This window comes from Homo sapiens, chromosome 9, assembly GCF_000001405.40.
Source record: "Homo sapiens chromosome 9, GRCh38.p14 Primary Assembly".
Lineage (NCBI taxonomy): Eukaryota > Metazoa > Chordata > Mammalia > Primates > Hominidae > Homo > Homo sapiens.
In genome coordinates, this window is record NC_000009.12 from 130,795,100 (window position 1) to 130,823,042 (window position 27,943).

General features: G+C 42.5%; 1 protein-coding gene and 1 long non-coding RNA gene across 3 annotated transcripts in view, besides 6 other annotated features; one reads left to right on the forward strand and one right to left on the reverse strand.

The window, feature by feature from the left end:
- Positions 1-1,632: part of a sequence secondary structure, noted in NCBI's record as "region with an inverted repeat containing 243 nt of perfect identity separated by nearly 2000 nucleotides [PMID:23588714]", that runs on past the window's edge.
- The window catches only part of LOC124902288 (uncharacterized), a 34,793-nt gene extending 12,432 nt beyond the window's left edge, over positions 1-22,361 (reverse strand). For both annotated transcript variants that reach the window (XR_007061823.1, XR_007061824.1), the window contains exons 1-2: positions 22,320-22,361; positions 21,017-21,220 (exon numbers count right to left, since the gene is read on the reverse strand). This is a non-coding gene — a long non-coding RNA (uncharacterized LOC124902288). The remainder of the gene's footprint in view (positions 1-21,016; positions 21,221-22,319) is intronic.
- Positions 1-27,943, forward strand: part of ABL1 (ABL proto-oncogene 1, non-receptor tyrosine kinase) — a 174,633-nt gene that overhangs the window by 82,057 nt on the left and 64,633 nt on the right. The window lies entirely within an intron of this gene.
- Positions 1-27,943: part of a biological region, named in NCBI's record as "ABL breakpoint recombination region", that runs on past both edges of the window. NCBI's record gives its function as "recombination_partner: LOC107963947 | LOC107963948 | LOC107963951 | LOC107963955 | LOC107966121 | LOC107966125".
- Positions 1-27,943: part of a mitotic recombination region, noted in NCBI's record as "ABL minor-breakpoint recombination sub-region recombines with the BCR-ABL minor-breakpoint cluster region, producing the e1a2 transcript", that runs on past both edges of the window. NCBI's record gives the evidence for it as "EXISTENCE:nucleotide sequencing assay evidence [ECO:0000219][PMID:20703256]".
- Positions 1-27,943: part of a mitotic recombination region, noted in NCBI's record as "ABL major-breakpoint recombination CML sub-region recombines with the BCR-ABL major-breakpoint cluster CML sub-region within the BCR-ABL major-breakpoint cluster region, producing the e13a2 and e14a2 transcripts", that runs on past both edges of the window. NCBI's record gives the evidence for it as "EXISTENCE:nucleotide sequencing assay evidence [ECO:0000219][PMID:20703256]".
- Positions 1-27,943: part of a mitotic recombination region, noted in NCBI's record as "ABL major-breakpoint cluster ALL sub-region recombines with the BCR-ABL major-breakpoint cluster ALL sub-region within the BCR-ABL major-breakpoint cluster region, producing the e13a2 and e14a2 transcripts", that runs on past both edges of the window. NCBI's record gives the evidence for it as "EXISTENCE:nucleotide sequencing assay evidence [ECO:0000219][PMID:20703256]".
- Positions 14,714-27,943: part of a mitotic recombination region, noted in NCBI's record as "ABL micro-breakpoint recombination sub-region recombines with the BCR-ABL micro-breakpoint cluster region, producing the e19a2 transcript", that runs on past the window's edge. NCBI's record gives the evidence for it as "EXISTENCE:nucleotide sequencing assay evidence [ECO:0000219][PMID:15843824]".

Here is a 27,943-nt window from a genome sequence, read left to right on the forward strand (position 1 = left end):
TGTTACCCAAGTGGTTTCTTGTGAGCATCCATTTGCATGCAGTTGGGCCTTTTGTCCATTGGTGAACTGCTCCTTGCCTTGAGGTCCTGTAGCTAGTTTGCCACTGAGTATTTCCTTCAAAAAACAGGAAGGATGCCCTGATATTATGAAGTGGGTGGTTTTAGAATTCCACTTCAGATGGCACTGACCTTTCCTTAATACAGCTGGTTTCACTTAATACATTTTGTTTAAACAAAGCCTGTTCCTGGAAGTGGTTCCAGAATAGTCTGTTCCTTGTAGCTGTTCCTTTGCTCTTAATTTTAAAAGTGTTTTCCCGACAGTATCATATGTGCTCGCACGACAGATTAGAAACTTCTGCTTGAAGTCATCACACTTATGAATTACGTTGTGTCCAGTTATGATATATTGATGATTGTATTCAGTAGCTTGAAGGTTTAAGTGATAACTTTATTTTGCAAAACTGACCACATTCTTTTGTTGCTTAGGTGTCTCCCCTTTAAGGGATTCTGATGTCTAGCAGTCTCAATGGACAAAACAGATAAAAGAGAGAATGAGTATTTTTCACTTTGTAAACATGAACAATTCTTAACAAAAAAGCCAGAGCTGGACTAATTAAATAATCAACATGTTTTAAAGTGGGATAGACATTTCTATTTTAGGTATGATACCACAATATTTAAATTTTAGGAAAGACTGGATAGAAATATAAAATAAGATACTAGTAGTCCTGCTCTGACTTTTCTAAAACAAGTTTATATTACTTTATTTAAAAATGTTTATGAGAGTGCCTTTTAAAAATAGGGATTTATAGGCTGGGCGCGGTGGCTCATGCCTCTAATCCCAGCATTTTGGGAGGCCGAGGCTGGCGGATCACCTGAGGTCGGAGTTCGAGGCTAAAACCCTGTCTCTACCAAAAATACAAAGTTAGCTGGGTGTGGTGGCATATGCCTGTAATCCCAGCTACTCGGGAGGCTGAGGCAGGAGAATTGCTTGAACCTGGGAGGTAGAGGTTGCAGTGAGCCAAGATAGTGCCACTGCACTCCAGCCTGGGTCACGGAGTGAGACTCCGTCTCAAAAAAATAATAATAAGATAAAAAATAGGGATTTATAAAACATATATGCAACTCATTAAGAACTTTTTGGCTGGCCACCATAGCTCATGCCTATAATCCCAGCATTTTGGGAGGCCGAGGCAAGTGGATTGCTTGAGCCCAGGAGTTCAAGACCAGCTTGGGCAACATAGCGAAACCTCATCTCTACAAAAAGCTGGGCATGGTGGTGCGTTCCTGTTATCCCAGCTACTTGGAAGGCTGAGGCACAAAAATCACTTAAATCTGAGAGGTGGAGGTTGCAGTGGGCCGAGATCAATCACACCACTGCACGCTAGCCTGATGAAGGAAGGAGAAACAGTGATTCATTTGTTTTGATAAAATCTGGCCTTCAAATGATCGAATGGCCAGGAAATACACATATTTCTATGGTCTAAGGTGTCTTAAACTTGGCCTTTAAAAAAAGACTCTTTCAAAGCTTGTGAGCAAACTAAATCAGCTAGTTCATAAAGCAAAGTCTCTTGACTATGACATAGTCTGCTAACTTTATGGATGTGGGCTCACAGGTAAAAAAATAAATAAATAAACAAAAAACAATGTCTTTCTCTGCCTTTTGTTAAAAAAAAAACAAAAAAACTTTTTTTGCCTGTAATCCCAGCTACTCAGGAGGCTGCGGCAGGAGAACCACTTGAACCCGGGAGGTAGAGGTTGCGGTGAGCTGAGATCACGCCATTGCACTCCAGCCTGGGCAACAAGAGCGAAACTTCATCTCAAAAAAAAAAAAAAAAAAAAAGGCACTTTTTTTTTGGCCAGGCACAGTGGCTCACGCCTGTAATCCCAGCATTTTGGGAGGCTGAGGCGGGTGGATCACGAGATCAGGAGTTCAAGACCAGGGTGGCCAAGATGGTGAAACCTTGTCTCTACTAAAACTACAAAAATTAGCCAGGCACGGTGGCAAGCGCCTGTAATCCCAGCTACTTGGAAGGGCGAGACAGGAGAATCGCTTGAACCCAGGCGGCAAAGGTTGCGGTGAGCCGAGATCGCGCCACTGCATTCGAGCCTGGGCGACAGAGTGAGACTCCATCTCGAAAAAAAAAAAAAAAAAAAAAAAAAAAAAGAACTTTGAATAAACTTCGTTGTGTCATATTCTATCGTAAGATTTATTCTTGTCTTTGGAGAACTTAGCTTATAATTAATTATATTTTAATGAATAGGATACTTTTTGTTTGTTTTGTTTTTGTTTTGAGACAAGTACTCGCTCTATTGCCCAGGCTAGAGTGCAGTAGCATGGTCTTAGCTCACTGCAACTTCTGCCTCCCAGGTTCAAGCGATTCTCGTGCCTCAGCCTCCCCAGTAGCTGGTACTACAGGCGTGTGCCGCCATGCTTAGCTAATTTTCATATTTTTAGTAGAGGCAGGGTTTTGCCATGTTGACCAGGCTTGTCTCGAACTCCTAGCCTCAAGTGATCCGCCCTCCTCAGCCTCCCAAAGTGCTGAGATTACAAGTCACCACGCCTGGCTTCCGTATTTAAGTATTAGGTGGTGACTCCATACAAAATATTTAACAGCTTGCTGGTTAACATTTAAATCTTTGTTGCTAAGACCTTTTCTATGTTTGACAGTTATTCCAAACACGTTCCATATAGGAATAGTTTGCCAAATAGAAGAACACGGGATATTCTTCTCCCATGGCTGATGTGTTGTGATTCTAGGTGCATATTTCTGTTTCCAAGAACACGGACCTGTTCTCAAGTTCAAACACTGCATCAAGAGACTGTGCCCCATGTCTTTTCACTTTTTTCCCTCTCTCTTTCTCTCCCCTTCCCCTCCTTGATTTAATTTCTTCAGCAGGTCAGAATTGATACAGCTTCCAGAAGAAATAGTAGAAGTAGGCAAAAGATTAGTTTTTAATTCTTGTTCTGTCAAATACTTTTTGATTGAAATTGTTTTTATTACAAAGGTAGCATTTGCTTTTTGAAAAACAAAATAAGAAAAATCTTTTTAATCACTTCACTATTAAGTTTGTTGAATATTCCCTCATAACTTTTTCTCCTGGCTTTTTGAGTATTTGAGACATTTCTTTCCACATTGCAGTTTTGAAACATTCTACCCCACACTCATACATGAAAGTGAAGGCTCTGCTTCTCAGAGTACAGTTTAATTTACTTTGTGGACATCATTAACAAAAGGCAGAGAAAGACATTGGACCATACTAATTGTGGGACTTAGAAAAGCTATATTAGTGATGGTTATTAAGTATCGCTTGCAGTGGAGTCTGTAACATATTCCTATGAAGTTAATCTAACTACTGAGATAGTGGGAGTGCAGAGGAGGCATGCTGTGAGATGGAGTGGTATTTTCCAGCATGGCTTTTCTGTTTCTTGAAAACCCTACAGCACTTTGCCATGGTTTCTCATCTGGATGAAATAAAGCACCTGTACCTTAGTATGTCCTGCCATGCCTTTGTATGGCATACTTGGCTTTGTTCTCCAGGCCTCTTCCCACAGTAACAACGGATTCTTTAGGAATTGGAAGGGGGGGCCGGGCATGGTGACTCACGCCTGTAATCCTGGGACTTTGGGAGGCTGAGGCGGGTGGATCACGAGGTCAGGAGTTTGAGACCAACCTGGCCAATATGGTGAAACCCTGTCTCTACTAAAAATACAAAAAAGAATTAGCTGGGTGTGGTGGGGCATGCCTGTAGTCCCAGCTACTCGGGAGGCTGAGGCAGAAGAATTGCTTGAACCCAGGAGGCGGAGGTTGCAGTGAGCTAAGATCGTGCCACTGCACTCCAGCCTGGGTGGCAGAGACTCCGTCTCAAAAAAAAAAAAAAAAAAGAATTGGAAGGGAATGGAGGAAGCAAGGTGGTTAAACAAAAATCATCTTTACACACACCACCCACTCTATGATGTATATGAGTTCAGAAGAGCACTTTGCTTTATCCTTAATAGAAATATCTGTAAAGCCAGGGGAGTCATAAAGCTGTAGGCTAAGTAAGGTGCCATGAGAAAAGGAGGCTTCACTTACGCCAGTATTTGGAGCAGCGTTTGGCCTCTTGGAGGTGTTTGCACCCATCGGAGATGCTCCATAGTGAGATTTAGGATAAGTGCAAGGTGAGCTTTGCTTTTGTAAAATGCATGAAGTGTGACCACGAAAGGGCCATGGGAAAGAATTATTGATGGGTTACAGGTGCATCGTTTCAGGCAGATTGACACTAGGAAAGAGCAAAGAGCAGGTAGAGGTTTGACAGTTTACTCCTTTAAAGTAATCCATGTCCAATAACCCATGGAAAGTCTTCATGTACTTCTAAGGGGTAGACATACCCTAGTCTAGGTGCTAATCTAGGTTCTATCATGTGTTAGCTGTGACCCTGGGCAAATAACTTTATCCTATGGCCTCAATTTCATCTTGCAAAAAAATACGGATTAGATAATGGCACTTCCTTAAAAGGTTTGATGGGATTTCAATGGAATATTGCATAGAAAGTGCTTGAGGCATTGTAAGTACACAGTAAGTGAAGTGTTGACCATTATTAATATCATGATGATAAAGTGTGTAACTTATTTTATAAGTACCATATAATTGAAATTTGCCAATAGTAACTCCTCGGAGACTTCCAGGGAACTCTGTCAATCAAAAAAAGCTTTGTGTAATAATGGACGCTACCTTGACAGAGTGTGTTAGTCAAGAGAGGATACTTATTTATAAATTTTGGGATATTTATACTTTTTTTTTTTTCTTTAGAGATGGAGTCTTGCTCTGTCGCCAAGGCTAGAGTGCAGTGGCGCAATCTCGGCTCACTGCAACCTCTGCCTCCCCAGTTCAAGTGATTCTCCTGCCTCAGCCTTCCAAGTAGCTAGGACTACAGGCACCTGTCACCAGGCCTGGCTAATTTTTGTATTTTTTAGGAGAGACGGGGTTTCACCATCTTGGTCAGGCTGGTCTCGAACTCCTGACCTCGTGATCCACACGCCTCAGCCTTCCAAAGTGCTGGGATTACAGACGTGAGCCACCGCACCCAACTATAAAATGTATTTTTATAGATACTTATTGAATTTTAGGATGTGGGCTGGGTGATTATTTTTTAAAGTACTTTTAAAAAAATTAAGGTATTATTTACATATAATATCCACCCATTTTTAAGTATACATTTTGGTGAATTACTGTGTGTCAATCATGTAACCTCAAACACAGCCAAGATTATAAAACAGTTCTCTACGCTGCTTTGGTGATGGATACACCAAAATCTCAGAAACCACCACTACAGAACTTATTCATGTAACCAAACACCATGTGTTCCCCAAAAACCTATTGAAAAAAAAAAAGAACCCAAAACCAAAAAACAGTTCTCTCAACATTAAAAGTTTTCCTGTGCCTTTTTCCAGTGGATTCCTTCCCTCAGCCTCTGGCCCCAGACAAACACTTATCCACTTTCTGTGTCTGTAGTTTTGTCTTTTCAAGAAATTCCTATGAATGGAACCATATAAAAGTTATATAAAAATCATAGACTTTTGTATTTGATTTCTTTTACTCTTAGCATCATTTTTTTGAGATTTACTCCTGTTGTATGTATTTACATTTCCTCTTTTTCTTGGTGAGTAATATTGCATTATATGAATATCTCACAATTTATCCATTTTACTAGTGGATAACATTAGATTGCTTCCAACTTGAGGCTATTATAGTACAGCTGCTATGAACATTTGTGTATTCACCATTGTGTGAGCATATGATTTTCCCTACCTTCTTTTCTATTTCACTTTCTTTTCCTTTTTCTTTCCTTTTTTTTTTTTTCTTTTTTTTGAGACAGTCTCTCTGTGTCGCCCAGGCTGGAGTGCAGAGGCACGATCTCGGCTCACTGCAACCTCTGCCTGCTGGGTTCAAGCAATTCTCAGCGTCAGCCTCCCAAGTAGCTGGGATTACAGGGGCCCGCCACCACACCCAGCTAATTTTTGTATTTTTAGTAGAGACGGGGTTTCACCCTGTTGACCAGGCTGGTCTTGAATGCCTGGCCTCAGTGACCCACCTACCTCAGCCTCCCAAAGTGCTGGGATTATAGGCCTGAGCCACAGTGCCCGGCCCTTTTTCCTTTCTTTTTTTGAGATAGGATCTTGCTCAATCATGCAGGCTGGAGTGCAGTGGCACACTTGGCTCACTGCAACCTCCACCTCCTGGGTTCAAGCGAGTCTCCTGCCTCAGCCTCCCGAGCAGCTGGGACTACAGGTGCGTGCCACCACGCCCAGTTAATTTCTGTGTTTTTAGTAGAGACGGGGTTTCACCATGTTGGCCAGGATGGTCTCGATCTCTTGACCTCGTGATCTGCCTGCTTCAGCCTCCCAAAGTGCTGGGATGACAGGCGTGAGCCACCAAGCCCAGCTGACAATGGATTTTCTTTGTTTTCTCCTTCATCTGAAGATGTCTTCCCTTTGCCTTCATTTTTAAAGGATATTTTCTCTGGGTATAGAATTATAATCCGAGAGTATAGAGGTTGACAAGTTTTTTGGTATTGGTTTTAGTTTTGGGTTGTGTCTTTTTGTTGTTGGCTTTTGTTTTGTTTTTGCCCCTTATAGATGTTTCACTGTCTTTTGGCTCATGTGTTCCGATGAGAAGTCAGCCCTTCATTGGGTCCTTGTTCTCATCTGTTTAATACCTGTTCCCATACCTGCCCTTTCTCTCTCACTGCTTTTAAGATTTGCTCTTTATCTTTGGTTTTGGAGTATTTGACTATGAAGTGCAAGCTGCTTTGTTTCTTCTTGGTGTACATTCAGCATCTTGCATCTTCAAGTATCTGCGTATCATTAAGTTTGGGCAGTTTTTGGCTCTTGTTTCTTCTAAATTTTTTCTACCCCATTCTCCCTGTCCCTCTCCTTTTGGTATTGTAGTTACCCACTGGAACACGTGACATTATGTAGCAAGTCTCTGAGTCTGTTCATTTTTTTCCTTCAGTCTTTTTTTTTTTTTTTGAAATGGTCTCTCTCTGTTGCCCAGGCTGGATGGTACAGCGGTGTGATCACGACTCACTGCAACTTTGGCCTCCTGGGTTTAAGCCATCCTCCTGCCTCAGCCTCTTTGAGTAGCTGGGACCACAGGCACGTGCCACCACGCCTGGCTAATTTTTTGATTTTTACTAGAAACAGAGTCTTGCCATGTTGCCCAGGCTGGTCTTGAACTCCTGGGCTCAAGCAATCCACCTGCCCTGGTCTCCCAAAATGCTAGGATTACAGGTGTCAGCCACTATGCCAGCCTTTTCAATTTTTTATCTCTCTTCTTCATCTTGGTTAATTTCTACTCATCTTTTTTGAAATGCACATACTGTCCTTTTCTTTGTCCATTCAGCTGAGTATATCCAGTGAATTTTTTATTTCAAAAAGTTAATTTTTTTCAGTTCTAGAATTGCCATTTAATTATTTTTTGTTGTTCCTATTTCCCCCATTGAGATTTCCTACTTCTTAGCTGAGATTTTCATTCATTGGAAACATGCCTTATACTGCTTCATTGAGATGATTATAATAGCTGCTTAAAATCTTTGTCTATTCCAGCATTTTGTTGATCTGCAGGTTAGACTGGCAGTTGAACTAATTTGTCCCACTGTCTTGCTTCTTTGTATGGTGGGTAGTTCTGGATTGTTTACTGGACTGTATGAATGTCAAATTCTGGATATTCTGGATTCTGTTACTTTTCTCTAATACTTGTTTGGTTTTATCAGGTGGTTTTCTTGGCTGGGTTTGAACACAAATGTGTTTCTCTCTGAGATCTTTAGTCTGTAGCTGAGCTGCTTTGTGTCTGTCCCATGCATGAGTGGCTCAAGGGTCAGTCAGGGATGTGATTGTACGGGGATTGGAGATCTTCCCCTGCCTTTTTCCCTTCTAGGATTACTTCAGTCTATTTATTTATTTGTTTATTTATTTAGAGACAGAAGTCTTCCTCTGTCACCCAGGCTGGAGTGCAATGGCGCGATCTCAGCTCACTGCAACCCCTACCTCCCGGGTTCAAGCGATTCTCCTGCCTCAGCCTCCTGAGTAGCTGGGATTACAGGCCCGCACCACCACGCCCGGCTAATTTTTGTATTCTTAGTAGAGAAGGGGTTTTGCCATGTTGGCCAGGCTGGTCACGAACTCGTGAACTCATGCTCTACCCGCCTCAGCCTCCCCAAGTGCTGGGATTACAAGCGAGAGCCACTGCGCCCAGCCGGCTCTCTTTGTTATTCATAGTTTCCTGGCTTCTCTTTTCTGAGCCACCCAGCCAAAAATGCTTTGACTTTTTCTATGCATGTTTCTGTCATGTCTGTGCATGACATAAATCATAATATCCTAAGACACAAAATTGTTAAAGGCAATAATTTGGAAACATACAACAATAAATAAAATGGTTATAGAGATGTAACTTTAAAAAGTTGAACATTTTGTTAAAACGATTCCTGAATATGCTGGAAAATTCAGATAGTTAACAAAATATTTTGAGGATAAAAAGGAAAGGAATCTGTTATCTGGAGGTAGAATAACTTGGCCATTTTACAGAAAGGAAACAAATTCTGATTTCACTTTTTGTATATCATCCATTTGACAATTTTCAATAAAAGGTTTATTGAAAACGGAATACATAAGGCTGGTGTTTGGACCTTTTTCCTAATTAGAAATTGTCCATGTCTCCAAAGATTATTAACTCAGTTTATTATCAGCTAAAGAGATCTTAAAGTTGACTAAACACCTGGAAATTAAAACTTAGGCCAACACATCAAAGTCTTTATGACTTGAAGTGTTTTAAGAATTAATGAGGCAAAGCACACACCTGTGGTCCCAGCTACCCAGGAGACTGAGGCAGGAGAACTGTTTGAGCCCAGGAGTTTGAAGCTGCAGTGAGCTATGATCATGCCACTGTTCTTCAGCCCAAGAGACTGAGTGAGACCTCTTAAGAAAAAAAAAAAAATGACCGGACACAGTTGCTCACGCCTGTAATCTCAGCACTTTGGGAGGCTGAGGCGGGTGGATCACGAGATCAGGAGATCGAGACAATCCTGGCTAACACGGTGAAACCCTGTCTCTACTAAAAAAATACAAAAAAATTAGCAGGGCGTGGTGGTGGGCGCCTGTAGTACCAGCTACCTGGGAGCCTGAGGCAGAAAAACGGCGTGAACCCAGGAGGCGGATCTCGGCAGTGAGCTCACACCAGTGGCTCACACTTGTAATCCCAGCACTTTGGGAGGCCGAGGTGGGCAGATCACCTGAGGTCAGGAGTTCGAGACAAGCCTGACCAACATGGAGAAACCCCGTCTCTACTAAAAATACAAAATTAGTGGGCGTGTGGCGCATGCCTGTAATCCCAGCTACTTAGGAGGCTGAGGCAGGAGAATCGCTTGAACCCGGGAGGTGGAGGTTGCAGTGAGCCAGGATCGCGCCATTGCACTCCAGCCTGGGCAACAAGAGCCAAACTCCGTCTCGAAAAGAAAAAATTCATGAGACTAAATCATTTTAAAAAGATGTCTTTTATTACAATTTCTTTCAATTAAACAGTTTTATATTTTTGAAATTTTAAACAATTTGTGCAAACGAGATCCTACTGGACCTATAAAACTAATGTAGTTAATTTAGAAGGTTTAAATCACGAGAAGTTAAGCCCAAATCTTGGGTTGATTTAATTGTTGTGTTAACATTGTTTTTATATCATAATAAAATCAGAAGGATGCATAGACTTGTTTTTAAGCTAATATTAACTTCTATTTCTAGCCCAAAGAGTCATCTATCAAAAGCCAGCTCATATTAAGTAGGGGGACCAAGAGGGAGGTCTCTCAGTTAAACAAAGTTATTGACTTGTCTTTAGACAGGCAAGACAGAGTATCTCCTCATAAGGTTTTCTTTTAACCTTTTTGTTCTGAAGTTAATATGTCTTTTAAGTGAATAATCTTGTTTATAACAACATTTTCTTTTCTGTTTTGTTTGTTTGTTTGTTTGAGACAGAGTCTCGCACTGTCACCCAGGCTGGAGTGCAGTGGCACAGTCTTGGCTCACTGCAACCTCTGCCTCCTGGGTTCAAGTGATTCTCCTGCCTCAGCCTCCCGAGTAGCTGGGACTACAGGCACATGCCACCACTCCCATCTAATTTGTTTTGTGTTTTTAGTAGAGACGGGGTTTCACAATATTGGTCAGGCTGGTCTCGAACTCCTGACCTCGTGATTCACCCACCTCGGCCTCCCAAAGTGCTGGGATAACAGGCATGAGCCACTGCACCCAGCTATAACAACATTTTCAAAGTGGCACATTTTAATATGAATAAACCTTCTACAATCACAGGCCTAGAAAGTTTTTCTTTTTCTTACGGAATTTCTTGACTGTTTACTTGTACTAGATATTTCTTCGGTATATTCATAATGACAGAACAATTGTTTATGATTGATTGATCTCCAAAGTTTCCCAAGAAAAGAGAAAAAGTAGGAGGGGAAGGAAGAAAGAAGTGAGCAGAAGTTGGCTTCAGAGAGATAGGAAGGGCCAGTTCCCTTCTCTGTTTAAGGAGGGGAGAAGACTTAGATGCAGGGAAACTCATTTTGACATGCCAACTCAAACCACAGAAGCCAGAGTCAGTTCAGCTGGTTTCAGTAGTAACTCAGGACCTTGACAATTCTGTTAAGCCATGTCCTTTAAAAGCCAGCTCTTATTAAGTAGGGGGATGAAGGGGGAAGCCCTTCAGTTAAACAAAGTTACTGACCTGTCTTTTAGACAGGCAGGACAGAGGATCTCCTCATGAGGTTTTTTTAACCTTTTTGTTCTGAAGTTAATGTGTGTTTTAAATGAATAATCTTATTTATAACAACATTTTCAGCGTGGCAACTGCAGTTTCAGAATGGTGGAATTATACCAGTCAGAGAGAGATGCAAATGATTTAAAATAGGAAGAAAGCAGGTGTCTGGCCCAGAGGACCAGATTAAGAAGACCCCATGAGAGTTACAATAGTTAGTGAAAATGGTGCTTCTGCAAACCTCATGTCTACAGAAGCTGGTCAAAGACCAGATGCCACCAGGTAGAATCCCAGCAAACTCTTCAATGGTAGATATCTGTCACCATCCTTAGGAGGTAGGTCTGTGGAAGCTCACTATAATACCATTTGCTTAACAGATATACAAACATGGATCAGATATAATTTCAACCCACAAGGAGCTCACAGTCTGGCTCTTCTTTTGAGGCAAAAAGACTAAAGCTGTTGCCTTTATGGTAAGATAAATCTGCCTTGGAGTCAATCCAAGGTGATTTAATTACTGTAGGTAGTTGTACCAATAAGGCTTGTATCCCAGAGAACTCCATATTGCATTTAAGCTTGTTAGTAAGCCAGGCCAGCTCTATTTCCTGTGAGGACTTTAAAAAAAATTGCATTCACACATTTAAAAATTAGCATAAGCAGGGTGCAGTGATGCACGCCTGTAGTCCCAGCTACTTGGTAGGCAGAGGTGGGAGGATCACTTGAGCCCCAGAAGTTCAAGACCAGCCTGGACAACAAAGTGAAGTGAAGACTGTCTCAAAAAAATTAATTATGACATAAAATGTTATATGTCTTAATTTACACAAATATAAGTATATACTTTTAAATCCCATTCTTACACACAAAAGCTAGCATACTGTGTAAAGTATTCTGGACCTACACACCTTTATTTTTTTAACATAACAATATGTCTTGGATACATTTTCCTATTTGTCTATAGAAAGTTTCATCATTATTTTAAAAAATTTGTTTTTGGCTGGGCACAGTGGCTCATGCCTGTAATTCCAGCACTTTGGGAGGCCGCGGCAGGCGAATCAGGAGGTCAGGAGTCCGAGACTAGCCTGGCCAACATGGTGAAACCCCATCTCTACTAAAAATACAAAAACTTAGCTGGGCGTAGTGGCGGGCGCCTGTAATCCCAGCTACCCGAGAGGCTGAGGCAGGAGAATCGCTTGAACCCGGGAGGCAGAGGTTGCAGTGAGCCGAGATCCTGCCACAGCACTCCAGCTGGGGCGACAGAGTGAGACTCCATCTTAAAAAAAAAAGTTTGCTTTTATATTTCATACCTGCATGGTATTCTATTGTGTGAGTAGGCCATCATCCAGTGGTCTTCAAACTTTCCTGTGTACTCCGTAACAGAATTTGTTGTTTTGACATGCAGTCTCACTCTGTTGACCAGGCTAGAGTGCAGTGCCACAATCTCAGCTCACTGCAGCCTCCACCTCCTGGGTTCAAGAGATTCTCATGCCTCAGCCTCTTGAGTAGCTGGCGCATGCCACCATGCTTGACTAATTTTTGTATTTTTAGTAGAGACGGGATTTCACCGTGTTGGCCAGGCTGGTCTTGAACTCCTGACTTCAAGTGATCTGCCCGCCGTGGCCTCCCAAAGTGCTGGGATTACAGGCTTAAGCTACCACGCCTGGTCTTCTAATAGAATTTTTAAAAACTGTATTTACCCCCTTGCACATTTAAATTGACATCTAAGATTTTTATTATAAGTTTAAATAGTTGTAAAGGATGTATTTTCCATTATATTTTATACATTCCTTAATTTTATATATATATATATATATATATATAGTTTTTTTTTTTTTTTTTTTTGAGATGGAGTCTCACTCTGTCACCCAGGCTGGAGTGCAATGGTGCGATCTCGGCTCACCGCAGTCACTGCCTCTAGGGTTCAAGAGATTCTCCTGCCTCAGCCTCCCGAGTAGCTGGGATCACAGGCACCCGCCACCATGCCCGGCTAATTTTTGTATTTTTAGTTGAGATGGGGTTTCACCATGTTGGTCAGGCTGGTCTCGAACTCCTGACCTCAGGTGATCCCCCCCACCTCAGCTTTTCAAAGTGTTGGGATTACAGGCGTGAGCCACTGTGCCTGCCCTCCCTTAATTATAATTTAAAAAATTTTTGCAGATGTAGATTTATATAAATTGGCAAGCCAGTTCTCTTTATCAAATTAACTGATCAAAAAAAAAAAAACAGATTAACTGGTCAAACATAGATTTACTTTCTGTCAGTAAAATTTTGACTTCATTTTTTTAAATCAAATAAGCATGTTAACCCGGTATTGCTGTGACAACCTTTATCCTAATTTCTTTTCTTCTTCTTCTTCTTCTTCTTCTTCTTCTTCTTTTTTTTTTTTTTGAAATGGAGTCGTGCTCTGTCACCCAGGCTGGAGTGCAGTGGCACAATCTCGGCTCACTGCAACCTCCACCTCCCAGGTTCAAGCAATTCTTCTGCCTCAGCCTCCCGAGTAACTGGGACTACAGGCATGCACCACCACGCCTGGCTAATTTTTGTATTTTTAGTAGAGATGGGGTTTCACCGTGTTGGCCAGGCTGGTCTCGAACTCCTGACCTCAGGTGATTCGCCCACCTTGGCCTCCCAAAGTGCTGGGATTACAGGCATGAGCCATCGCACCCAGCTTTTTTATCCCAATTTCAAGATGGGTGGGCAGGTAGGTAGGTAGGCAGGTGGGTAGATAGATAGGGCCTTCAGACTTGCCTCGCATTCATCTTTTACATAAAATAAGACAGTTTCACCTTGAACACTTCTGTGGTGAGACTGTTTAGTCTTGTAGCTCTAAACTCCAGCCATACTCTGATGACTCCCACATTTATAAATCCCAGATTTGTATACTCAACTACTTATCTAACAGGTCAAAACTGAACTCTTAAAATTCTTACATTTGTGTCCACACATGATTGGCTAAGCTAATGGGGCTCAGATTTACCCTGTCACCTGAAACAACTGTAAAACTGGAGAAAATATGTCAAACTCTGAAGTTATTAGGTCTAAGGTGATTAAGAACAGCGAATCCTGAGACCTGAGAAATAGAGCCCTATGATTGCTCTGATTTAATGCTCGGAGAAAGTTTCCAGACCGCGGTGCGGGGAGAAGGAACATCAGCAGGCCCCAGCAGTCTCTCCTCATTGAAGAGGTAAAATGAAAATCCAGGGCAGCTGGGGCAGCTAGAGTTCACAGGCAGAGAAACAAAGAGGCAAGAGATGCACAGAGAAGAGAACACTGGCCTGCAGATGCCCAGGGAGCCCACTCGAGTATTCGGTTGAGTACTGATCAGTGCACCCATGTGAGGAAACCCCTTAGTTCAGGGAAGGAGCCACTCAAAAGGATTAGAGAGAACCATTTACGGAGTTCACACAGGGCCAGAAATAGTTCCTGTTCCCAGTAGCAGAGTAGAACATTTCATGATTCAGGGGTATTGATTGGAGTACTAAGAAGAGTTGTATTAGTGAAGGTTCTTGAGAGAGAGAGAGAGAGAGAGAGAGAGAGAGAGAGAGTGTGTGTGTGTGTGTGTGTGTGTGTGCACGTGTGAAGAAATTTATTGTAAGGAATTGCCACGTGATTATGGAGGCTGATAAGTCCCAAAAATCTGCAGGGCGAGTCAGCAAGATGGAGACTTAGGAGAGCCAATGATGTGGCTATAGTCCAAAGGCTGACAGGCTCAAGACCCAGGCAGAGCCAATGTTTCAGTTCAAGTCCAAAGGCAGGAAAAAAGTTGATGTCCCAGTTCGAAGGCAGTTAGGCTGGAAGAATTCTCTTTTACTCAGGAAAGGGTCAGATTTTTTGTTCAATTCAGGCCTTTAACAGATTGAATGGGGCTCACCCACATTAGGGAGGCCAAGCTGCTTTACGCATTTTGCCAGACTAACGTTTGACCAAAGATCTGAGCACGTATGGCCCAGTCAAGTTGACACATAATGTTAATCATCACAAAAGTCTTGCCTCAATAGTTGGGAAAAATTAATCCTAGAATAAATGCTATTCTGGTCTTGCTTAGCAAAGGTTAAGAGCAAGACCAAAAAGATCAAACCTTTTCCAAACAAAAGCTGAAGAATATTTTTAGGGATACAAAACCATCTAGGACCGAGTGTGGTAAAATGCACAATGTTTACCAGCCATTCCAGAATTACTAGGTATGAGCAGAAGTAGTAACATACAACCAATAACTGACCAGAAATGAGACAGATTATATAAGTAGTACATTACAGACATTAGTCATTATAATTGTATTCCATGTGTTCAGTAAGCTAAAGAAAAGATTTAATATGTTAAGTAAAGACATGAAAGATGATGGCTGGGCATGGTGGCTCACGCCTGTAATGCCAGCACTTTGGGAGGCCAAGGTAGGTGGATCACCTGAGGTCAGGAGTTCAAGACCAGCCTAGCCAACATGGTGAAACCCCACCTCTACTAAAAATACAAAAATTAGCTGGGTGTGGTAGCGTGCACCTATAATCCCAACTATACGGGAGGCTGAGGCAGGAGAATCACTTGAACCTGGGAGGCAGAGGTTGCAGTAAGCCAAGATCGTACCACTGCACTCCAACCTGGGCGAGAGAGCAAGATTCCGTCTCCACAAAAAAGAAAGATACAGAGATGAAAAATACACTGAAGACTGTCAGAATAAACATTGCACAAGTAAAGATTTGTGATTTTGAAGACTTAACCATAGAAACTATCCAAAATGAAGCAGAAAAAAAAAAGAAACCCTGAAAAAAATACATGAACACAACATCAGTAAAGTGAGGGACAACATCAGGTAGCCAAATGTGTGTGGAATTGGAGTCCCTGAAGGAAGGGAGGGTATGAGGGACCAAAAAATATATATAGAGAGAGAAAAAAAAATGGCTGAAAAATTTCCAAGTGTAATGAAAGCAGTAAACACACAGATCCAAGAATTTCAAGGAACTCCAAGCACAGGAAACATGAAGAAAAACTATATACTAAGGCACATCTTAAGCAAATTGCTTAAAACCATGGTTTAAAATGGCCAAAGAAAAAGATACATTATATACTTAAGATCAGGGTGACACCAGATTTCTCATTGGAAACAATGTAAGCCAGGTTAACAGTGGAACAATACATTTAAAGCAAAGAAAGAAAACAGTTGTCTACCTAGAATTCTTTTCTCAGTGAAAATACCTTTCAAAAATGAAGGCAAAATAAGGTCTCTTTCAGACTTTAAAAAAAAAAAGGAAGAATTTATTACCAGTAGATATGCAGTACAAGAAATATCAAAGGATGTAATTAAAGCAGAAAGAGAATGATAACTGGTAGAAAACTGGAGCCACCAGGAGTCCCAGGCTGCAGTGAGCTATGATCGCACCACTGCATTCCAGCCTGGGTGACAGAGTGAGACCCTCTGTCTAAATAAACAAACAAATAAAAGAAAACTGGAGCTATAAAAATAAATGAAGACAATGCAAAGGGTAACTAAGTGGATAAATACATAAGATATTTTTTCTTTTTGTTTCAGTCTCATTAAAAGATATGTCTTAGAGGTAATTACACATTGTAGCATTTGTAACTTACATAGAAGTAAAGTTTATGACAATAGCAGCACAAAGACTGGGAGTGGGAGAACAAATATACTCTTGTAAGCTTTTTACACTACATGTGAAGTTGTATAATGTCAATTGAAGGTAGACTGTGATAAGTTAAAGATGCATATGATAAAATCTATAGTAGCAGAGTTATAGCTAATGAGCCAACAACAATAAAAAGTTGGGATATAATCCCAACACTTTGGGAGGCCGAGGTGGGTGGATCATGAGGTCAGGAGTTCGAGACCAGCCTGACCAACAGGGTGAAACTTTGTCTCTACTAAAAATACAAAAATTAGCCGGGCATGGTGGTGGCACCTGCCCGTAATCTCAGCTACTCGGGAGGCTGAGGCAGGAGAATCACTTGAACCCAGGAGGCAGAGGTTGCAGTGAGCGGAGATAGTGCTACTGCACTGTAGTCTGAGCGACAGAGTGAGACTCCGTCTCAAAAAAAAAAAAAAAAAAAAAAAAAAGTTGGGATAAATATCTTTAAATAATCCAAAAGATGGCAGAAAAAAAAACTAAACAGGAAAAGCAAACAGAGCAGATGGGACAAATATGAAACAAAGAGCAAGATGGTAGGTTAAAATTCATATCAATAATTAATTCACCATTAAGGGCCAGGCAGAGTGGCTCATGCCTGTAATCCCAGCATTTTGGGAGGTGGATTAGGAGGATCACTTGAAGCCAGGAGTTTGAGACCAGCTTTGGAAGCCAAGTGAGACTCCATCTCTACAAAAAAAAAAAAAAAAAAAAAAATTAGCCAGGTGTGGTGGTGTAGTTCCACTCAGGAGGCTACGGTGGGAGGATCACTTGAGCCCAGGAGTTTGAGGCTACAGTGAGCTCTGATCACACCACTGCACTCCTCCAGCCTGGGTGACAGCGAGATTCCATCTTAAAAAAAAAAAATCCTCATTAAAAGCAGACATTGTGAGATTGGATAAAAAAGCAAGACCTATTTATATTTATATGCTGTCTACAGTTATCCCACTTTGAATATAAAAATACAAATACGTTAAAAGCAAAAGAGTGGAAAAAGATGTTAATATGTTAACATTAATGAAAAGAAAACCTTAGTGGCATATTAAACAAACTATATTTTAAAATGAATGTCACCAAGGATAAAGGAGAATTATTTCATAATAATAAAGAGATACATTCATCAAGACATAATTCTAAATGTTTATGCATGTATTAACAGAGATTCAAAATACAAACTTTTCAAGGAGAAATAAATCTGTAATTATAGTTGAAGGTTTAACAACTCTCTCACAAAAACTGATAGAACAAGTAGACAAAAATCAGTGAGGATATAGAAGATTTGGACAATATAATCAACTGACTTGACTTAATTGATGTTCAGTAGAACATTCGACCCCTAAACAGCAGAATACACGTTCTTTTCAAGTGCATATGGAACTGTTTCCAAGACAAATCATTTTCTGGGCCATTTTAAAAGCCTCAGTAGACCCGGCGGGTTGGCTCACGCCTGTAATCCCAGCACTTTGGGAGGCCAAGGCGGGCGGATCACCTGAGGTCAGGAGTTCGAGACAAGCCTGGCCAACGTGGTGAAACCCCGTCTCTACGAAAAATACCAAAAATTAGCTGTGTGTAGTGGTGGATACCTGTAATCCCAGCTACTCAGGAGGCTGAGGCAGGAGAATCACTTGAACCCGGGAGGCAGAGGTTGCAGTGAGCCGAGATTGCACTACTGCACTCCAGCTGGGCAACAGTGAGACTCCGTCTCGAAAAAAACAAACAAACAAAAGCCTCAGTGAATGTAAGCTGATTCAATTTGTAGAAAGTATGATCTCTGGCCAGGTGCGGTGGCTCACGCCTGTAATCCCAGCACTTTGGGAGGCTGAGGCGGGCGGATCACGAGGTCAGGAGATCAAGACCATCCTGGCTAACATGGTGAAACCCCTTCTCTACTAAAAATACAAAAAATCAGCTGGGCATGGTGGCGCTCACCTGTAGTCTCAGCTACTCAGGAGGCTGAGGCAGGAGAATCACTTGAACCCGGGAGGATGAGGTTGCAGTGAGCCGAGATGGTGTCACTGCACTCCAGCCTGGCTGAGAGAGCGAGACTCCATCTCCAAAAAAAAAAAAAAAAAAAAAAAAGAAAGTATGATCTCTGGCCACAAGGAATTAAATGAGGAATTAATAACAGAAAGGTATCTGGAAGATCTTTCAAATATTTGGAAAATAACATAATTTTAAGTAAATCATGGGTCAAAGAAAATCAACAGCGAAGTAAGTAAGTATCTGGAACTGAATGAAGGTGAAAGTGCCACATAAAATTTGTGTGATGGAGCTAAAGGGAAATTTATATAGTGCAGATGGTCCCTGACTTATGACGTCTCAACTTACATTTTTCAATTTTATGATGGGTTTTTCAGGATGTAACCCAATTTTAAGTTGAGCATCTGTATCAGAAAAGAACAAAGGTCCCAAATCAATGACCTTGGGGTCCCACTTTTAGAAATTAGAAAAAATGAAGACTAGTGAAACCCCAATTAAGCAGAAGAAAAAGCCAGTGTGGCCAGGCAGGGAGGCCCATGCCTGTAATCCCAGCACTTTGGGAGGCTGAGGCGGGCAGATCACAAGGTCAGGAGATTGAGATCATCCCGGCCAACATGGTGAAACCCCGTCTCTACTAACCATACAAAAATTAGCTGGGCGTGGTGGCGCTTGCCTGTGTAATCCCAGCTACTCAGGAGGCTGAGGCAGGAGAATCGCTTTAACCAGGGAGTCGGAGGTTGCAGTGAACCGAGATCGCGCCATTGCACTCCACCCTAGCGACAGAACGAGACTCCGTCTCAAAAAAAAAAGAAAGAAAGAAAGAAAAAGAAAAGGCCAGTCTGGAAATCAATGAAACAGAAAACCAGTACAGAAATCATGAAACCAAAAGCTAGTTATTTGAGAGAGCAATGAAACTCATAAACCTCTACCCAGACTGATCAGGGGAAAAAAGGGAAGACAATAACTGTAATATCAGCAGTGAAAGAGATGACATCACACAGATTCTAAAGATATTGAAAGTGTAATAACTGAATATTGATCAGCAATCTAGAAGAAACAGATTCCTTGAATGACACAAACTACCAAAGTTCACTCAAGAAGTAACCATCTGCCGGGCGCAGTGGCTTACGCCTGTAATCCCAGCACTTTGGTAGGCCGAGGTGGGCGGATCACGAGGTCAGGAGACCGAGACCATCCTTGCTAACACGGTGAAACCCCGTCTCCACTAAAAATACAAAAAATTCTCCGGGCGTGGTGGCGGGCGCCTGTAGTCCCAGCTACTCAGGAGGCTGAGGCAGGAGAATGGCTTGAACCTGGGAGGCGGAGCTTGCAGTGAGCCGAGATTGCACCACTGCACTCCAGCCTGGGTGACAGAGCCAGACTCTGTCTCAAAAAAATAAAATAAAATAAAAATAAAGTTTAGTAAAATAAAAAAAATCAGTAAAATACAAATAAAATTTAGTAAAAATAAAGCTGATTCTAAAATGCATGTGCAACAGAGGATCTAGAGTAGCCAAAATAAGCTCCTCTGTCTGACTTAAAGTCTTAATTAAAATAATCAGACAGGCCGGGCATGGTGGCTCACGCCTGTAATCCCAGCACTTTGGGAGGCTGAGGCAGGTGGATCACCTGAGGTCAGGAGTTACAAACCAGCCTGGCCAACATGGTGAAACCCCATCTCTACTAAAAGTACAAAAATTAGTCAGGCGTGATAGCACACGCCTGTAATCCCAGCTACTCAGGAGGCTGAGGCAGGAGAATCGCTTGAACCCGGGAGGCGGAGGTTGCAGTGAGCTGAGATCATGCCACCGCACTCCAGCCTGGGCGACAGAGTGAGACTCTCAAAATAATGAAATAAAAATAAAAAACTGAACTTCATATCTTGTCCCCAGATCTGATATAGTCACTTCTTCCTTTGTTCAGTTAAACCCAGCTTCATGTTTCTGCTTGCCCAGGGCCAATAACTTTGGGATCTTCCTTGACTCTTCTTTTTCTGTCAAACCCCGTACCAGTCTTTCAGGTAACCGTAACTTCAGAGTCTATCCAGGTCACCTCTGCTTGTCCAAGCCCCTGTCATCTCTCACTTGGATGATTTCATTAGCCTCTTGGCCAGGGTCCCTGCTTCTGCTGGTATTTCCTTAGTTTCTTCTCCCTACAGCAGCCAGAGCTAATCATTTTAAATGTCATATTTCTGTCTCGCCTCAGCTGCAAACCTTCCAGTACCTTCCCAGCTCCTTCTAAATAAACACCAGAGGCCGGGTGCAGTGGCTTATGCCTGTAATCCCAGCACTTTGGGAGGCCAAGGTGGGCAGATCACCTGAGGTCAGGAGTTCGAGACCAGCCTGGCCAACATGGTGAAACCCCCTCTCTACTAAAAATACAAAAATTAGCTGGGCGTGATGGCGCCTGTAATCCCAGCTACTTGGGAGGCTGAGGCAAGAGAATCGCCTGAACCCAGGAGGTGGAGGTTGCAGTGAGCCAAGACTGCGCCACTGCACTCCAGCCTGGGCAACAAGAGTGAGACTCTGTCTCAAAAAATATAAATAAATAAACAAACAAGCACCAGAGCCCTGGCAGTCACCTGTGAGGCTTCACCCCGTCTCCCCACCCACTATAACCTCTGACTTACCTCCTTTTACACTCCTTCTTGCTGACTCTGTTCCTTCCACATTGGCCTCTTTGCTCTTGCTTGAATGATCCCCAGTCATCCTCCCTGCCCAGGGCCTTTGCACTTGCTGTTCTCTGCCAGGAAGGTGCTTCCTCCGTAGTTCACTCTTCACCTCCTTTGGGTCTTTGCTCAGTTGTCATCTTCAGTGATGGCTCTTCTGATCACCTTATTTAATTTTTATTTTTTAATTAAAAATTTTTTTTGTGGAGATGTCTTGCTATGTTGCCCAGGCTTATCTCAAACTCCTGGACTCAAACGATCCTCCTGCCTCAGCTTCCCAAAGTGCTGGGATTACAGGTGTGAGCTACCACACCCGGCCCCGATCACCTTATTTAAAATTGCAGCTCCCAGCCCCCAACCCCAGCATACCCATTCCTCTTTTTTTTTTTTTGAGACAGAATCTTGCTCTGTCTCAAATTCCCTCCAGCCATGAGCCCTGAAATGAAACAAGTTATCTATTTCCAAAACACAACAGTGGGGCAGGCATAGGATAGACATTCCCATTCCAAAAGGGAGCAATAGGCAAGAAGAAAGGGGTAGCTGGTCCCAAGTAAGTCCAAAACCTGAGACAGAGTCTTGCTCTATCGCCCAGGCTGGACTGCAGAGTGGTGCGATCTCAGCTCACTACAACCTCCGCCTCCCGGGTTCAAGCGATTCTCCTGCCTCAGCCTCCCAAGTAGCTGGGATTAGAGGCATGCACCACCACACCTGGCTAATTTTTGTAGTTTTAGTAGAGGCAGGGTTTCACCATCTTGGCCAGGCTGGTCTCAAACTCCTGAACCTCAGGTGATTCCCCCCGCCTTGGCCTCCCAAAGTGCTGGGATTACAGGCGTGAGCCACCGCCTGGTCTCCCTCATTCCTTTTGTTATCAGTCATCCCTCCCAGCCCTGGCAACTGCTGCTCACTTTCCTGACCTTAGAATTTTGCTTATTACAGAATGTCATATAAGTAGAATTATAAAGTATCTAAGCTTTTAAGTCCTAATGCATTTAAGATCTGTAAAAAGTAAAGTAGAGGTTCCTCTTCAAAGACTTTCCTCCCCATCTAATTAGGAATAAATAGTAACTTCTCTTAGAAGAAAAATTTATTCAAAGACCTGTGCTAACATTCTTAAATATCTGCTAGCCGTAATAAAGAAATCAATGTACTTTATATTCTTAGCTCTCACAATTTAGCCTAAATATTTGCCCTGGCATGCTTATACTGGTCCAAGCAAGCATTAGGTCATGGCCTGTTCCTCTTCCTTATTTGAAGGTGTTTTTACCTTTCTCAGCACTCCACAAGTTACTTCCTCCTTCCTTTGTTCTCCTCTGCCTTTGCCTCTTTTAAAAAGTTCTAAGTTCCTAGCCAATCAGGACAAATACAGAATGTGAGGTCCTGTTCCAGCCAATGGAAACTGGACACAGCAGTAGGGTGGACGCGTCAGGTTGTAAATGACCCTGTCTCCTTTGTTCAGTGTACTCTCATGGCAAAACTGCTGGTGAGTGTACCCTTTCTGCAGAAAGTAAAAAATGGCCTTGCTGAGGAAATTAAATTTATGTTCAAGTGCTTTTTCTTCAGGGCACCAGGGAACAAGCATTTCTAACAGATCCATATGTGTCGCTGCATGTAATCAGTGGTTCATTCCTTTCTATTGCTGAGTAGTGTTCCATTGTATGGATGTACCCGTGTATTGATCCATCCATCCACTGAAGGATATTTGAGTTGTTTCCAGTTTTTTTGTGATTATGAATAAAGCCACTGTAAGCATTCACATAGAGGCTTTGGTGTGGACATAAGTTTTCATTTCTCTTCGGTAAATAATTAGGAGTAGAATTGCTAGGTCGTAGGATAAGTATATGCTTAACTTAGGAGACCCTGCCACAGTATTTTACAAAGTAAGGGTGCTATTTTGCATTACTACCAGCAGTTCACACCATATGTATTCACACCAGTTGCTCCATTTGGTCTTCGTTCTGTGACTTGTCTCTATTCTCTTAACAGTATCTTTAGAACAGCAGAAGTTTTTGATTTTGATGAAATTCAGTTTATCGGGCCAGGCTGGGTGGCTTATGCCTATAATCCCAGCACTTTGAGAGACCGAGGAGGGTGGATCACTTGAGGCCAGGAGATTGAGACCAGCTTGGCCAACATGGCGAAACCCTGTCTCTACTAAAAATATAAAAATTAGCCATACATCGTGGCGCATGCCTGTAGTTCCAGCTACTCAGGAGTCTGAGGCAGGAGAATCACTTGAACCCTGGAGGAAGAGGTTGCAGTGAGCTGAGATCATACTGCTGCACTCCAGCCTGGGCAACAGAGCAAAACTCCATTTCAAAAAAAAATAAAATAAAATTTCAGTTTATCAGTGATTTCTCTTAAGTTTCATGCATTGGGTATTGTAGCTAAGAAATCTTCACCTAACTCAAGTTTACAAAGATTCTTCTGTTTTTTTTCTAGAAGATTTATAAGTTTTAATTTAACTTTTAGGCTTATAATTCATTTCACATTAAATGGTGTATGTGGTGCCAGGTATTGCTCGAGAGTCATCATCTTGCATAGGGGTTTCGGATGTTCTAGCACCATTTGTTCAACAGATAGCCTCTTTTCATTAAATTGCCCTTTCACCTTTGTGGAAGATCAATTCAGCATGCATGTATGGGTCACTTGTATGTTTTTAATTGATTTCTAAATTCTGAAAGGAAAATGATAAAAAGGAAGATTCTTTCACTATATCTGCATTTCCAATTTCTCCCCCAAGAACGCTTTCCTAACACCTGCAGGCAGAACTAACCACTCTGGGCCCCTGTAGCTGTTGTGCGTATGTTTATTATTGAGTTTTTCTGGCCTTTGCAGTTCTTTCAGTGTCTGATTCTCCCTCTCTCTCAGCTTCTTTCTCAAGACTGTGCATCCTTGGAGGTCAGAAATTGTCTCATCCTGCCGGGCGCGATGGCTCATGCCTCTAATCCCAGCACTTTGGGAGGCCGAGGCGGTTAGATCACAAGGTCAGGAGTTCGAGACCAGCCTGGCCAACATAGTGAAACCCTGTCTCTATTAAAAATACAAAAATTAGCTGAGCGTGGTGGCACATGCCTGTAGTCCCAGCTACTCGGGAGGCTGAGGCAGGAGAATCGCTTGAACCCAGGAGGCGGGGAGGTTGTAGTGAGCTGAGATTGTGCCACTGCACTCCAGCCTGGGCAACAGAGCGAGACTCCATCTCAAAAATAAATAAATAAATAAAAGACAAAATAAATTTTCTCATCCTTTTTTGTCATCTTCATCACAGCTGCCTCTCTAATGTTCGTTGAATGAAAGGGCCATTCCCAAATCTCTGATAAGTCAAGCATTTTTAGGAGAGCTAAACCAGCCAAATGAGACCAGGAAGTGAAGAAAAATACCTTTTTTTTTTTTTTTTTTTTTTTGGAGACGGAGCCTCACTTTGTCACCCAGGCCGGAGTGCAGTGGCACGATCTGAGCTCACTGCAACCTCCGCCTCCCAGGTTCAAGCAATTCTATTGCCTCAGCCTCCCCAGTAGCTGGGACTACGGGCACACACCACCATGCCCGGCTACTTTTTTTTTGTATTTTTAGTAGAGATGGAGTTTCACCGTGCTGGCCAGGCTGGTGTCAAACTCCTGACCTCGTGATCCGCCCGCCTCAGCCTTCCAAAGTGCTGGGATTACACGCGTGAGCCACCGCGCCCAGCTGAAAAATACCTACTTTTTTTTTTTTTTTACAGCAGGAGGTGTTTCTGCTTCTACTTTGCTGTGACTTCTGTTTCTCCAGGCATTCCTGGTATGGACATTTATACCAGGTGTTTTGGTCATTGGTGGGCTCTCAGCTTCAGAGGACACTTGGCTTCTCTATACCCTATCTTTGGTGACTTCTGCTTGTTGGACTTCAGTCACTGCAGTTCACAAGTTTCACACTCATGAAATATTTATTGTTAATTAATTCCAATATTTAATTGATTGCTTCTCTTTCTCAGCACTTTGGAAACATGTTTACTACCTAGACATTTTCCTACAGTAGATTTTTAATTCTTAACATTTTGATCTTAAGCAATTTACCATGATACTTGGTTTCCATGAGAGATTTAACAGTTGGAACTGTACTGCCCATAAGATGCAGGTGGGGTCATGGTATGTAGTTGGGAACTCTACAAATGGCAGCCCTTCATGCCTTTGCAAAGGCTGCAGGTTGGAAAGCTGCCATTACTTGTGAGGGCGTCCAAATGCTTCCTGTGAATGGAAGATGTGTTTCTGTGCCTCACTGTCTTCACTGTGCTGGATTGCTGGCTTTCTCAGATGTCTTTATTTGAGTCAACCTGTATTCCATCTCCCCACTCCCACCCAGTCTTGATCATCTCATTTGTGTGTATACAACCTTCCCCTCACACACACCTCTTTGCAGAGTTTCGTTGCACTGGGCGTTGGGAGGAGAGGCGTCAGAGTTGGGTGGAATCATTTCAGGCTGACTGTCCAGACATAGCTCTCATTAGAAGCATCAGTAAATAAGCTGAAAACCAACAACACGTACAGCACAGTCTTTCTGTGTTTGCAGCTTGGAACTGAGCAGCCCTCACTGGGTGCATTTCTAATCCTTTGTCTCATCATTTATATGACATCCACTTAGAAAAAGGTGTTAAAATCATATAACATATTGCTTTTTCCCCTTTTTTATTAGCAGTTTTACTGAGGTGTAATTTATATGCCATAAAATTTACCATTTGAATGTTCAATTCAATGATTTCTACTAAATTTATAGAGTGTGCACCATAACCACAATCCAGTTTTATTTTTTATTTTTTTTTCGAGACAGAGTCTCACTCTGTCACTCAAGCTGGAGTGCAGTGGTGCAATCTCGGCTCACTGCAGCCTCCACCTCCCGGGTTCAAGCGATTCTCCTGCCTCAGCCTCCCGAGTATCTGGGACTACAGGCACGTGCCACCATGCCCAGCTAAGTTTTTTGTATTCTTAGTAGAGATAGGGTTTCACCATGTTAGCCAGGATGGTCTCGATCTCCTGACCTCATGATCCGCCAGCCTCAGCCTCCCAAAGTGCTGGGATTACAGGCGTGAGCCACCGCACCTGGCCCCACAATCCAGTTTTAGAACATTTCCAGCATCCCCAAAAGATCCCTTTTGTCCCTTTGCAGCAGTCCTACCCCCACTTCCAGCCCCAGGCGACCATTCATTTGCTTTTTCTATAGATTTGTCTTTTCCGTACGTTTCATGTAAATGAAGTTTTATACAATATATGACCTTTTGTGACTGTTTTTTTTCCCAGCATGTTTTTGAGGTTTATCTGTATTATAGCACGTCTCAGTACTTTGTTCCCTTTTTATCACTGAGTATTATTCCATTGTACGGACATACATTTTTCTCTATTCACTAGTTGGTGAACATTTGGATTGTTTCCAGTTTTGGTCATCATTAACAATGCTACTATATATATCCATGTATAAGTCTTTGTGTGGATATACATTTTCATTTCTCTAGGGTAGATTTCTAGAAGTAAAATTGCTGAGTCTTTTTTTTTTTTTTTGAGATGGAGTTTTGCTCTTGTTGCCTGGGCTGGAGTGCAATGGCATAATCTTGGCTCACTGCAACTTCCGCCTCCCTGGTTCAAGTGATTCTCCTGCCTCAGCCTCCCGGGTAGCTGGGATTACAGGCATGTGCTACCACACCTGGCTATTATTATTATTATTTTTTTTTTTTTTTTTTGAGACAGAGTCTCGCTCTGTCACCCAGGCTGGAGTGCAGTGCGCGATCTCAGCTCACTGCAAGCTCTGCCTCCCGGGTTCATGCCATTCTCCCGCCTCAGCCTCCCAAGTACTGGGACTACAGGCACCCACCACCACCCCCGGCTAATTTTTTGTATTTTTAGTAGAGACGAGGTTTCACTGTGTTAGCCGGGATGCTCTCACTCTCCTGACCTCGTGATCTGCCTGCCTCGGCCTCCCAAAGTGCTGGCATTACAGGCGTGAGCCACCATGCCTGGCAAATTTTGTATTTTTAGTAGAGACGAGGTTTCACCATGTTGATCAGGCTGGTCTCAAACTCCTGACCTCAGGTGATCCACCCACCTTGGCCTCCCAAAGTGTTGGGATTACAGGCGTGAGCCACCACGACCGGTCAAATTGCTGTCTTATAGTAAGTTTATGTTTAACTTTTTAAGAAACTGCCAAACTATTTCCTAAAGTGACTGTACCATTTACATTCCCACCAGCAATGTGTGAGTGTTCCAGTTTTTCCATGTCCTTGCCAATAGTTGGTTTTGTCTGCCTACCTATCCCCGCCCCTGCTTTTTTTTTTTTTTTTTTTTTTTTAAGAGACAGGGTCTTGCTGTGTTGTTCAGGCTGGCCTCAAACTCCTGGGCTCAAGTGCTCCTCCCTAGTAGCTGGGACTATAGGCACACACCAGTGTACCAGGGGTTGTCTGTCTTTTGATTATAGCTATTGGAATGGGTGTGAAGCAGCATCTCGTGATTTTAGTTTCCATTTCTTGAATGACTAATGATACTGAACATCTTTTTATGTGCTTATTAGCCATTTGTATTTCATCTTTGGTGACCTGTCAATTCAAATCTTTTGCCTATTTTTTTTTATTAAGTTTGTGCACTGTCTTATTATCGAGTGGTAAGAGTTCTCTGTATTGTGGGTACAAGTTCTTTTTTTTTTCGAGATGGAGTCTCGCTCTGTCACCCAGGGTGGAGTACAGTGGCACGATCTCAGCTCACTACAACCTCTGCCTCCTGGGTTCAAGCGATTCTTCTGCCTCAGCATCCCAAGTAGCTGGGACTACAGGCTTGCACCACCACACCCAGCTAATTTTTGAATTTTTAGTAGAGACGGGATTTCACCATCTTGGCCAGACGGGTCTCAAACTACTGACCTCGTGATCCTCCC